The sequence below is a fragment of the Homo sapiens genome, chromosome 9 (assembly GCF_000001405.40).
Source record: "Homo sapiens chromosome 9, GRCh38.p14 Primary Assembly".
Classification (NCBI taxonomy): Eukaryota; Metazoa; Chordata; class Mammalia; order Primates; family Hominidae; genus Homo; species Homo sapiens.
This window is the reverse complement of record NC_000009.12, coordinates 102,254,797-102,268,740: the sequence shown is the minus strand read 5'-3', so window position 1 is coordinate 102,268,740 and position 13,944 is coordinate 102,254,797. Positions and strand designations below refer to the sequence as shown.

The 13,944-nt window shown below is 35.5% G+C and overlaps 1 long non-coding RNA gene and 1 pseudogene across 1 annotated transcript in view; both read right to left on the bottom strand.

The window, feature by feature from the left end:
* Positions 1-9,032: 9,032 nt before the first annotated feature.
* Positions 9,033-13,944, bottom strand: part of LOC105376188 (uncharacterized) — a 42,808-nt gene continuing 37,896 nt past the window's right edge. Inside the window, exon 3 of the long non-coding RNA XR_930189.2 lies at positions 9,033-9,556. This is a non-coding gene — a long non-coding RNA (uncharacterized LOC105376188). The remainder of the gene's footprint in view (positions 9,557-13,944) is intronic.
* Positions 12,031-12,137, bottom strand: RNU6-329P (RNA, U6 small nuclear 329, pseudogene; annotated as a pseudogene).

Genomic DNA, 13,944 nt, shown 5'->3' with positions numbered 1-13,944 from the left:
CATCTGTCAACACAGTAAAAACCATATATGACAGTCCCACAGCTAGTATCATATTGAAATGAGAAGAAGTGAAAGCCTTTTCTCTGATATCTGGAATACAAACAAGGATGCCCACCTTAACAACTATTATTTGACAGAATCCTGAAAGTCCTAGGTAGAGCAATCAGACAAGTTAATTAAATGAAGGGCATCCAAATTGGAAAGAAAAAAAGTCAACTTAGCCTTCTTTGCAGATTATGTAATCTTATGTTTGGATAACCCTAAAGACTCCACCAAAAAAATATTCAAACTGATAAATTCAATAAGTTTGCAAAATAAAAGTCAGTAGCATTTCCATATACCAACAGCAAACAGTCTGCAAAAGAAATCTACAAAGTAACTCCATTTATAATAGCTACAAATAACATAAAATATCTAAGAATAAAATGATCGAAAGCGCTCCAGAGTAAAAAGTATAAAACACTGATGTGAGAAATTCAAAAGGACATAAAAAATGGAAAGAGTCCATGTTTATGGATTGGAAGAATCAATATTGTTAAAATGTCCATTCTACTCAAAGAAATCTTCAGATTTAATGCAATCTCTATTAAAATATCAATGGCATTCTTTACAGAAATAGAAGAAAACAATACAAAAATTTATATGGAACAACAAAAGACACAGAATGCCAAAGCTATCCTGAACAAAACTGGAGGAATCACATTATGTGACTTCAAAATATTCTACAGAGCCATAGTAACCAAAACAGCATGGTACTGGCATAAAAATAGACACATAGGCCAAAGGAACAGAATAGAGAACCCAGAAAATAATCCATACATTTACTGTGAACTAATTTTCAACAAAGACACCAAAAACATATATTGGGAAATGGACAGTGTCTTCAATAATTGTTGCTGAGAAAATTAGATATCCATAAGGTAGAAGAATGAAACTAACCCCTATCTCTCACTGTACGTAAAAGTCAACTAAGTATGAATTAAAGATTTAAATGTAAGACCTCAAACTATAAAACTACTATAAGAAAACATTAGGGAAGCTCTAGGACACTGAATTGGGCAAAGATTTCTTGAGTAATATCTCACAAGCACAGGCAACCAAAGCAAAAATTGACAAATGGGATCACACCAAGTTTAAAAGCTCTGAATAGCAAAAGAAACAATAAATAAACTGTAGAAACAACCCACAGAATGGGAGAAAATATTTGCAACCCACCCTTCTAACAAGGGATTTATAACCAGATTAGATAAGGAGTTCAAACTACTCTATAGGAAAAAAACTAATAATCTCACTGAAAAACGTTCTAAAGATCTGAATAGACATTTTTGAAAACAAAAGACATATAGATGGTAAACAGGTGTATGAAAAGGTACTCAACATCATTTATCAACAGAGAAATGCAAATCAAAGCTACAATGTGATATCTCACCCCAGTTAAAATGGCTTTTATCCAAATGACAAGCAATAACAAATGCTGAAGAGGATGTGGAGAAAAGGGAGCCCATCTACACTGTGGGTGGGAATGTAAGTTAGTACAACCACTATAGAGAACAGTTTGGAAGTTCCCTAGAAAACTAAAAATAGAGCTACCATATAATCCAGCAACCCCACTGCTAGCTATATACCAAAAAGGAAGGAAGTCAGTGTATCGAAGAGAGAGATATCTGCCTCCCATGTTTATTACAACAATATTCACAATAAGCAAGATTAGGAAGCAAGCTATGTGTCCATTTACAGACAAATGGGTAAAGAAAATATGGTACATACACACAATGTCATACTACTAAGCCATAAAAAAATGAGATTCTCTCACTTATAACAACATGGATGGAACTGAAGACAAACTTTGCATGATCTCCTTATTTGTGGGAGTTAAAAAATTAAAGGAATTGAACTCATGGAGATGGAGAGTAGAATGAAGTCTACCAAAGGCCGGGAAGGGTAGTGGCAGGGGGTGGGGGAAGTGGGGATGCTTAATGGGTACAAAAAATATAGTTAGATAGAATGAATAATATCTAGTTTTTGATAGCACAAAAGGGTGAGAACAGTCAACAGTAATTTATGGTACATTTTAAAATAACTAAAAGAGTATAATTGGATTGTTTTTAACACAAAGAAAGGATAAATGCTTGAGATGATGGAAACTTCATTTACCCTGATGTAATTATTCCACAGTATATGCCGTATCAAACTATTTTATATATCCCATAAATATATACACCTACTATGTACCCATAGAAATTAAAAATTAAAAAACAATAAAAGTCAGTTATTTTTTTAAATTTTTCTCTAAATTATTTCAATATAACTGTATTTTCCTGATAACATTCAGTGGACAAGTAAATTATACAACTCAAAGAGTTAAGGGGTATTTGGGAAGATTTGCATTGCATTTCCCAGCACCATCTATCTATCTATCTATCTATCTATCTATCTATCTATCTATCTATCTATCATCGATCTATCTGTCATCTATCTATCTTTGTTTCTGTCTATATATCTCTAGATAGATGTTTCTATATACGGGTATTTGTAACTTTATAATTTCAATAAGATCTTCCTTCTTATCTCTTTGTTCATTACTCTAACATGCCATCAGGGCAACAAATAATAAAGAGGAGAGAGAATGATTTAAAGATTTCTATTATTTCTACATATTTTCTTTATATTATAGGATGTAATGAGAACTGCAATAGCAGTAATTAAATTCTTCATTAAGAAAGGTGAAAAAATTTACCTGTCTTTTCAAAAGCTTTCATTTGGTGGTGGTCTCTTAGTGTCCATATGAATATATAACTTTAAAAATTTATTTTAGTGTAAATATAATTTTAATGTCATTTTTCAGTATTTCTTTTTCAGTCTATTTTGTGTTTCAGTATCACCTCAATATGTGTATATTTTATTGGTCATACAATATTCCATTTTAAATATTATCTTATTAAGCTTGACTTGCACCCTCTTGGCATATGTAATTATATGACAGTGAAAAAGTGGCAACCAGGTATCCTTCAATAAATACCTTTATGTGCAGAAACGTTTTTTCCTTCAGAGTATTTTAAATACTCTTTTAGAATTTTTTTAGTATAAAACAAGTGGCATGATACAAAAGTATCATGGATACTGGATAACACAACAGTCTAATCCATTTGGTAACATGGGAAATTTGAACCATTTTTTGCCATTTACACTTTGCTCTAGATGCATATTTTATAAATTATTTTCTGAGTATTTTCAGGAGTACTAGCCTTTTCAAAGAAAATAATGTTTATTTAGATCTTGTAGCAATTCTTAAGAGAACTGCTATATTTCAATGCATGAGTTCATATTAACCAATCTTTTCGATTAAATATTCTAAATCCACAATAACTATGTCTACTGACCCAATGACTTAAACACTATCTTATTTGTCCAAGAAAATGAGCTTTTAATAAGAACCATGAAATAAAAATATATTCTCATTTCTTTTGGCACTTGGGGAGAAACACTATGTAATAACTAAGAGATTGAATTATGAAAAATGACTTCTGTGAAAAAGCAGCCACTACTTTTCATGAAGATAATGTGATATTTTAAAAGCAGCCCAATATATAGGCTACTGAAACAAGGGTCCCCAACTTATGATGATCAAGTACAGTAAATGTTTTTAAATGTAATTCAGTTATCTTCCTTCTAATTAACATGGGAACTACTGTTAAGTATAGAGTCAAGTCATAAATTGCATCAATATTAAATAAAGCCTTCATTGTCTATTGAACCAAAGATTATTTGGGGGTTAAATGAATTATAACTCTGTCAACAAAATTCACAGTGATGAGGTGCAAACTTCTGAAATATTTTGCTATACTTGATCAATATAGATAGTTTTTTAGGATCATTCATGAAGGTGACGATCACTCATCAAAGATGATACTTGACTCGAATGATTTCCCTTTCCATCATTATAAATTCACTGAAAAATTGTCAATATTTTTCTTCACTTGAAGCTTGAGAAATCCATCCACATTCCAGGTATCTGCATAGACTTTTCAAGTTTAATTTCTATTTTCAAAGCTATTAAACATTAACTTTTAACAGCCATTAACATTACAGCTAGTGTTACCTCCCACACTGGTGGCTGAAATTTAACAGCTGACATAGAACTTAGTATCTTGGCATAAGTGTGAAAGCTATTTTCTATGTAATTACAGAATAAAAACTTTAGTGTAAAAGCTCATCTAAGGTAGCTAATCAAGCTCTGGTACATGTCAGTAAAGAGCTTAAATTTCAGTGCTTCCTGAAATAAATGGCAGATTTATTATAGTAGCACACATTTGGCATTGTGTGGGTCCTCTTTGACTTTAAAATGGACTATAAAACAGTCATATCTGCTTTTTCCAATCAGGAACCAGCCTCCTACTACAAGCTGAGTAGAAAGGTGAACACTCTTGAACAGGTAGACATTGTGATTCACCTTTCAAAAAATAGCCGGGGGTTCTCCCCATGGTGTTGTGGGTGAGAAGGAAGCAAAAGATGCTTTGGTGCTTGGATTTTCACTTTGAATCTTCAAATAATATTTGAGCTGTCACGGACATGTTTTCACTTCTGTATCAAAAGTCTACAAACACACAGTCCCAAACTATGAATTTTCTGGGTCAGTTCCTCATAATGAAAGGGGAATAGAATCAAGGCTAGTATCAGTGAGAACAAAATAAAATCATCATCCTATAGCTTAGATGACAAACTTTTTCATTTCTTAAATTTTTTATTTTATTTTTTCTCATCTGTCTTTCTCTCTCTCTTTCCTCTTTTAAATTTTTGCTTTGTTTTGTTTGTGACAGAGGCTTGCTCTGTTGCCCAGGCTGGAGTACAATGGTATGATCTCGGCTCACTGCAACCTCTGCCTCCCTGGTTCAAACGATTATCCTGCCTCAGCCTCCCAAGTAGCTGGGACTACAGACATGCACCACCACACCCAGCTAATTTTTGTAGTTTTAGTAGAGACTGGGTTTCACCATGTTGGCCAGGCTGGGTTTGAACTCCTGGTCTCAAGTGATCACCCACCTCGGCCTCCCAAAGTGCTAGGATTATGGGTCTGAGCCACTGCACCCAGCCTCCCTTTTGAATTGTTTTTATGTAAAGCCTAAATACCAAGACCTTAGATTCCTAATGTCTGGATTCAAACTCTGGTTGCACTGCTGTTTAGTCAATCACACATTTCCCTTATACCTGAGTTTTCCCATCTGGAAAGGGACCATAATAAATATACTGACTTCACAGAATTGTTGTGAGTTAATATATGCAAATAACTTAAAACAGTGTCTGGCACATATCACGTCACATAACTAATGCTATTAGTGTTATATAGCATTTTCAGTAAAGTTCCATTTGTGGCTTTCCCTTTATTTAGCACTGGAGAGTATAATAAGAATCAACTTACGAAAGAATTTCTAAGATGAAAGAATTTCTAGTCACTGAAATGCTGGTCATGATGGTAGTTTTGGAAGAAATATTATTTAGAAAGGGTGCTTTCTCCTAAAGTACAAATCCATTGCAAGCCTGAGCTGAAAAAAAAAAATTGCAGAAAAAGCATTTTCACAGCCAAGGAAGAAGTGACTTAGTAAATCACTAATCTCCTTCTCTTAGAACATTCTAGCTGTATAGGCATTACATTAAACCTGCCATCAGAATTTATCCGTTTAATGAGCGAGATCAAACGCCTTAATTTCCAGATCGCTTTTTGACAGGATATTTAATTGAACCATGTCCTACCATAGAGGTTTTAAACCGGTGTTCCTGCTCCCTTGTTGTACCGTAGTCTTCTTAAAGGTGAACTATCAATTTTTTATCAATTTAAAAAATACTGGAGATGATAACAAATTGTGCGTGTATGTGTATGTGTGTTATGGAAATATCAGGCGCAGAGCAGAGGAGGAGGGTATAATTTGCTGGTATTAAGAGTTGTTAGTGTGCTGAAAAACTAAGCCTGTTGCAAAACTTTTTTGGTTGTTTTTGTTTTGTTTTGTTTTTGAAGAGCATGCAAGAACATTTCCTTGTGAATATATAAGGGCAGTTAACAGTTCTGCTCAAATGCAGTATGGTGCTAAAAGGCCACAGGGTGAGTAGTAAGTAAATAGAGATGCTTTTAAAGACAATGTGAAACACTGTTTTACTGTGGTTGTTATCTCTTGGCAATTATGCTGACATGTTTTAGTGTTGCTTCGAGCTCTTTTTTAAATCCCATGAAGAAGGGGAAGTAATGCTCCAGTGTTCAAAGAACGCTGCCAACATAAAAGGGTCAAGAATCTTGGCTACAGCAGGAAACAAATGCACACATATGTGCACACACACACACTTATTAAACTTTGAGTCAGATTTGTCTTCCAGTTGTAAAACAACTGGCTTTGTGTCCTCAGGCATGGCACTAGATCTCTGTAAGCTGAGGCATGAAGATCAGTAAGATATACATGATACCTCCCAGATAGCAAGATCTTTCGAAATAACATAAATGAGACATTGCATGTGAAAGAGGTTTGTAGATAACACACAAATTTTAAAAGAAGAGGTTCCCAAAGATCTTAAAACAGAACTCTGCAGGAGTGGGATATAAAACAGATTGTTATGGGAGAATACATGGACACATAGAGAGGAACCACACAGAGTGGATGATGGGAGGAGGGAGAGAATCAAGAAAAACAACTAATGGGTAGTGGGCTTAATACCTGGGTGATGAAATAATCTATACAACAAGTTTACCTATGTTACAAACCTGTACTTGTACCCCTGAACTTATTATGAAGGTTTAAAAAAAAAAACATGTACAGACTATATGGCTTTAATGGTAAAGGGAAGGCATTAGGGCCTGCTCAGTTGTCATGTTCAAAGCAAACAGGTAGCAATCATGGAAGCCAAGTATTTGGGGTTTATGAGTCTCATTTTTATCAAAAGCTGACTGCCAATAGGTCCAGCCCATGAGCTATTGCAGAAGGTGTAAAAACTACAGGGAAATATCTGTACCCTGACTAAAGGACATGTCCTCTCTGGGGGGGTACACGAAACTGCATCAAATCAGATGATTGGCCAGTGTTCCATTTAAAATAGAATTTCCTAAACGTGAATAAACCAGAATAGGTAATGCATTTTTAAATGAACTTTGAGAACATTTATGGCATAGATCAATACCAGCTATTTTTTTTAATCAATGATTACTCTGTTCCTAAATGTATCCATTAGCGTGTATACAAATAGCCCTAAGGGAAAAAGTTATGTGTCCTTACTTCTGATTTCCTAATGAAAATGTTAGCACTTAACAAAAAAAATAATTTCTCCATACCTGAGAGAAAGAAATTTGAAACCCACAAAGAAAAAAATATAGCACTGATAAGGTTTTTATTTTTTTCAATCCCTTTCACTTCGTTATTCTAAACCACTCTCAATAGAGATTAAAAGGTTGAAAAACCTAAACTTGTGTCCCTTTTTGAGTGATGTCTTGTTAAGTGATCCTGATAACATAGTTTTTATGTCTCTAAAAAAATTATTTAAATTATTTCCGTTGAAATATTTTGGGGGTGATAAAAGAAAAAAAATTAAATTTAAAGGAGTTTAATTCAGCAATGAAGGATTTGTGAATCGGGCAGCCTCCTGAGCCAGAATAGGCTCTGAGACTCCACACAGCCATGTGGTAGATGATTTATGGAAAGTAGAAGGAAGGTGATGTACAGAAAATGGAAGTGAGGTACAGAAGCATCCGGATTTGTTATGGATTGATGTTTCTTATTTGAACACAGTTTGAACAGTTGGCTACATTTGACGGGCCAAAACTTGGTGATTGACACAAGTGTCGGCTACGGGTCTGGTCACACCTTCACTTGTTATAGTTCACGATGTACAGAGAAACATTTAGGCCCAACTTAAACATGTAAGGAGGCAGGTTTAGGCTAAACCTGATTTAACAATTCCCCCCCGTTTTGGTTATCTTCTCAATTTTGAGAGACTGACCAAAACTTTGGACATTGATGTTACTATCGCTGTCATTAATGTACTTATTTGGCCTTGAAATCCACTGGAAAATAGCAAAACAGTGGGTTTTGTAAGGTAGGAGTAAGGACTTCCGGTTATTTTTGTTGTTGTTTTTGAAAGGATTAAAGTAGAGGGTACTTCTTTATGCTGCAATGTCCTCTTTACGGGAGAGAAAAACAATACCTGGTCTGTTTTAGGATCTATTTGTTTCCTTGAAGTCTTAGTTTGAATATGCCACATTTAGCATGAGTGACTCCACTTTGGTTTGGTCTGGTCTGTTGCGACCTAGTGCATGAGCTCAGTCCAAAACAATGGTCTCCCATAATTTTGTTTAAAAATTCCCCACTTTTGGTCAGGCTCTCACTTAGGTGAGAGTGTGACCAAAATTTAAGGCCTTAACACCACTTTCACTTACCACCATTTTGGGTTTCGAGTCTCAGCATGTCATTCATAGGTTATGGTGTCCTCATGGTCACACATGTCTGTCAGCTCTTGTCATTCCAGTTGAAGAGATACCATTTGACATTCTAGAGATGGCTACATGCAAACATTTAAAACTTTTGAGAGAATACAGTGTACCAGGAAATCTATTATGACTATTAGGAGAATAATACCAAGAATTTGGTATATGCTTCTCACCCAGGGTCCCCATAAACCAAACCACCTAAAGTTAAGTAAAGAGTGAACTAGATAAGGGGCCACTCAATTAACTCAGCTGTCTTTTTGTTAATCTTCTGTACCTGAATATCTATAATCTACATTTGATATATTTCTCCATAGGCCACAAGTGCTGGCAGTTCCTCAGATACTTCTCTGTTTAGCCAGTTTATAATCTAGAGCAATTTTATTTCAAAGGAGAATTTAAAGTCTGTCGTGTAACCACAGCCTTTATAGTAGAGTCTGCAATAGAGCCTATTATGAGGGATACATTTCTAATCATTGCGTTTTTTTTTTTTTTTTTTTTTTTTTAATCCAAACCTTGAAAGAAAAGGACCTAACAAATGATGCCTTTCTAGAAGAGTGAAGGCCTCCTGGCAATGTTCTCTTTAACTCATGATGTGGGTTAGGAGGAGTGAACCAATGTTCTGTTTCTAACTATGTGACACTGTATATACCATTAAGGTTTCTCACCTACATTGCACCTTCATCTTTCATCTATCAAGATATAAGTTTATCTATGTATAAGGCTGGCTGCAAAATTATTCACAAATAAAGGTATACCCATATGTGCACAAAATAGACCCTCTTTTCACTTCTATTGTTCATAGAGGTATAAGCAAGGGAAAAATATTCAAAGATAAGAGTCTTATAATAGTAGAAATCTTGATCCATGATTTTGGGAAAAGCTGTTCATATCAAGAATATCTTCTTCTTCTGGGGAGAAAATTCCCTGGTTAGCTTCACCTTAAGGGTTCCAATGGGTGTGCAGTTCTATGAGTGTGGAGTAATCCTTCTCAGTTGTGAGATTATGAACCCAAAGTTCAAGGTCCCGAAGTTTTTGCTGGAGTGTACATGGCAAGAAAGTATCTCTGTTGTTCTCAGAGGATTCGGTCTTCAGGTTCTAGATTGAGAAGGGGTGGATTGTCCTCAGTCAGTAAACCATTAAAAGCTTTTTTTTACCAGATGAAAATACACAGAAATAGAAAATACAGTCCTAGAATTCCTATAACCACAAAAGACTCCAAATAGCCAAATCAATCTTCAGCAAAAAGAACAAAGCATGAGGCATCACACTACCTTATTTTTAAAATCTGCTACAAAGTTGTAGTAATCAAAATAGTATGGTACTGGCATGAAATTAGGCACATTGGCCAACGAAACAGAATAGATAGCCCAGAAATAAAATCATGCAAATATAGTCAAGTAGCTTTTTACAAAGGCATCAAGAATATACAATAGGGAAAGGATAAAATTTTTAATAAATGATTGTTGAGGAAACTAGAAATCCACATGCAAAAATAAAATAAAATTGGATGCTTCACTTACACTGTACACAAATATCAACCCAAAATGGATTAAAGAATTAAACATAAGGCCTGAAACCTTAAAACTCCTAGAAGAAAACATAGGAGAAAATCTCCTTGACATTGTCTTTGGCAATATTTTGAATACCAAAGTAAAATATCAGACAACACAAACAAAAATAAACAAGTGGGAAAACATCAAACTAAAAAGTTTCTGCATAGCAAAAGTAGCAATTAACAAAATGAAAAAGTTACCTACAGAACAAAAGAAAACATTTGTAAGTCATGATTTCAATAAGGAGTTAATAAGGAACTTACACAACTCAATAGCAAGAAAACAAACTGATTATAAATGGACAAAGGACCTAAATAGACCTTTCTCAAAAGAAGACATACAGGCCGGGAGTGATGATGGCTCATGCCTGTAATCCCAGCACTTTGGGAGGCTGAGGCAGGCAGATCACTTGAGGCCAGGAATTTGACACCAGCCTTGCCAACATGGTAAAACCCCATCTCTACTAAAAATACAAAATTTAGCCAGGTATGGTGGTGCACGCCTGTAATCCCAGCTACTTGGAAGGCTGAGACAGGAGAACCTCTACCATGAGGAAGAGGTTGCAGTTAGCTGAGATCATGCTACTGCACTCTAGCCTGGGTGGCAACATGAGATTTTGTCTCAGGAAAAAGAAAAAAAAAAAGACATACAAATGGCCAGCAGGTATATGTAAAGATGCTCAATATCATTAATCATCATAAGAATGCAAATGCAGAAATACACAATGAGCTATCACCTCACACTTATTAGGCAGTCTATCATCAAAAAGATAAAAGATCCATGTTGGTAAGGATATGGAAAAAAGGAAACATTTGTATTAATATACTGTTGGTGGGAATGTAAATTGGTATAGCCATTATTTAAAAAAGTATACTAATTATCAGGGTAATGCAAATCGAAACTACAATGTGATACCATGTTACTACTGCAAGAGTGGCCATAATAAAAAATAATAGATGTTGGCATGGATGTGGTGAAAAGGGAACACTTTTACATTGCTGGTGGGGATGTAAACTAGTACGACCACTCTGGAAAACAGTGTGGAGATTCCTTAAAGAACTAATGGTAGACTTAACATTTGATCCAGCCATTCCATTACTAGGTGGAAAAGAAGTCATTATACAAAAAGGTACTTGCACATGTATTTTATAGCTGCACAACTTGCAATTGCAAAAATATGGAACCAGCCCAAATGCCCATCAATGAGTAAAGAAAATGCCACACACACACACACACCATGGAATACTACTCACCCATGAAAAGGAATAAAATTATGACATTCACAGCAACCTGGACTGAATTGGAGACCATTATTCTAAATGAAGTAACTCAGGAATGTAAAACCAAACATCCTATGTTCTCACTCATAAGTGGGAGCTAAGCTATAAGGACACAAAGGCATAAGAATGATACAATGGACTTTGGGGACTCGGGGGAAACAGTGGGAAGGGATATGAGGGCTAAAAGACTATACACTGGGTACAGCATACACTGCTCAGGTGATGGGTGCACCAAAGTCTCAGAAATCACCACTGAAAAACTTATCCATGTAACTGTTATAGGTAGTCAGGCATGAGCAGGGCAAAAGGGGGCTCACCACCCCACCACCTACCAGGAATGTCAGGCGATTGGGTGATAGTTTCACAATCATCACATTGCCTCTCTATAAGTGATAATTCTGGCAGCCAGTGCCAGGAAGAGAAAAAAAAAACTATTTTGTTCCCCAAAAACCTATTGAAATTAAAAATAAAAATTAAAAAAAATACCAGTATGGAAGTTTTTCAAAAATTGAAATAGAAGTACCATATGATCCAGCAATCTCACTTCTGGGTATACATTCCAAAAAAATTAAAGTCAGGATGTAGAGGAAATATCAGCACTCCCATGTTTATTACAACATTATTCACAATGGCCAAGATAGGAGAACAATCTAAGTGCTTATCTGTCGACAGATGGATGGATAAAGAAAATGTGCTTTGCATATACTTTAAAAATTTTTAAATAGATTTTTAAAAAAGAAATATGGAATGCTTCACGAATTAGAGTGTCATTCTTGCTCAGGAGCCATGCTAATCTTCTCTGTATTGTTCCAATTTTATTGTATGTGCTGCTGAAGCAAGCACTACATATGTGTGTGTGCATGTGTGTGTATACACATACAATGAAAGTACATAATTATTCAGCCTTAAAAAGAAGTTTCACTATTTGCAAACTTAGCATGAACCTTGAAGACGTTATGCTAAGTGAAAATATGCCAGAAACAGGAAGACAAATACTGCAAGATCTCACTTTTATGCAGAATCTAAAAACCAAAAAGCTAAGCTCAGAGTAACAGAGAGTAGAGTGATAGTTACCAGGGGCTAGGCTTGAGGAAAAGGGAAGATATTGGTAAAATATTGCAATCCTTTAATTATAAGACGAATAAGTACTAGAGACTTAATGAACAGCATGGTGATTGTAGTTAATAATAACGTATTGGGTATGTGAAATTTGCTGAGAGTGGGCCTCAAGTGTTGTCACTAACCACACACAGACACACACAAAATGAATGTTGTATCAGGATTAATTGAGGTTCTTTAAGAATGACTCTTCCTTTACTCAGGGACAAGTATTTTCCAGCACATTGTCCAACAATCTGTTCATCTTAAACAAAACAAAAGCCAAAAATCTTCAATAATCTATTCAAACAAATTTAAGCAAAACGAGAAGAACTAAGGATTTCACAGTTACTATATAAAATTATTAATAATCTGTCAATATGTTGAGGCATTGCTGCTGTATTAGTCTTTTCTCATGCTGCAAATAAAGACATACCTGAGACTGGGTAATTTATAAAGGGAAGAGATTTAATTGACTCACAATTCATCACGGATGGGGAGGCCTCAGGGAACTTACAATCATGGTGGAAGGGAAAGTAAACACGTTCTTCTTCACATGGTGGCAGCAAGGAGAAGTGCAAAGCAAAGAGGGAAAAGCCCCTTATAAAACCATCAGATCTTGTAAGAACTCACTCACTATCACGAGAACAGCATGAGGGTAACCACCCCCATGATTCAATTACCTCCCACCAGGTCCCTCCTAGGATATGTGGGGATTACGGAAACTACAAGTTAGGATGAGATTTGGGTGAGGACACAGTCAAACCAAATCAGCTGCCAAATATGGTTTACACTGGACACAATTTAACAGAATGACTGAAGGTTGACTCATTGCCCACTCAAAAAGTAACATTTAAGAATTATAAATTGAGTAAGCATCTCCCATTATATTAACAAATACAAAATGTAGAGGAGTTGCGGAATGAAGAAGGATGAGCTGTTGTTTTGTTTTGATTTGTTTTAATTGTTTGGGTGTTTGGTGTAATAGTTGTTTGCTGTATAACAAATTAGCACAAATCTCAATGACTTTAAACTATAAAAAATTACTCAACCACTGTTAGCTTCCAGAGTCATCTCTACATTTTCTAGAAAAAAAAAATCTTGATGCTAGAGATTTTCCTTATTGGATTTCTGACTTACTTGCAAAATATCTCCCAAAACAAAACCTGGCCGAGTGGGAAAAGTAGACTGAGTAACCCAGTTTCTCCAGTCCAAGGTTGGAGATCTTGGCTCCTGCAGAAGCAAACTAGGAGACTGTGGGAGGGGAGTAAATCTGACAGATGGACTGATCAGTGAATCTGGTGGATTTACACAAGGAACATCTCTTATGGTTTCAGAAGCCCTTGTCCCTGCTGAGATTACTCTAGCCTTCAGGACCTGCATTCTGATCTTTAATGGTAGTGTGATGCTGTACTTTTCCAAACTTTTCTTTCATCTGGATAGGAGGGAGCTGTGTGAAATCAGGAATTCTCACTTAAAATCTCTGCCTGGAGGTGGAGTTTTTCCTCGTGTCTTTTCAGGCATGGTAGATATCTCTGCCTAAGCCCGTATT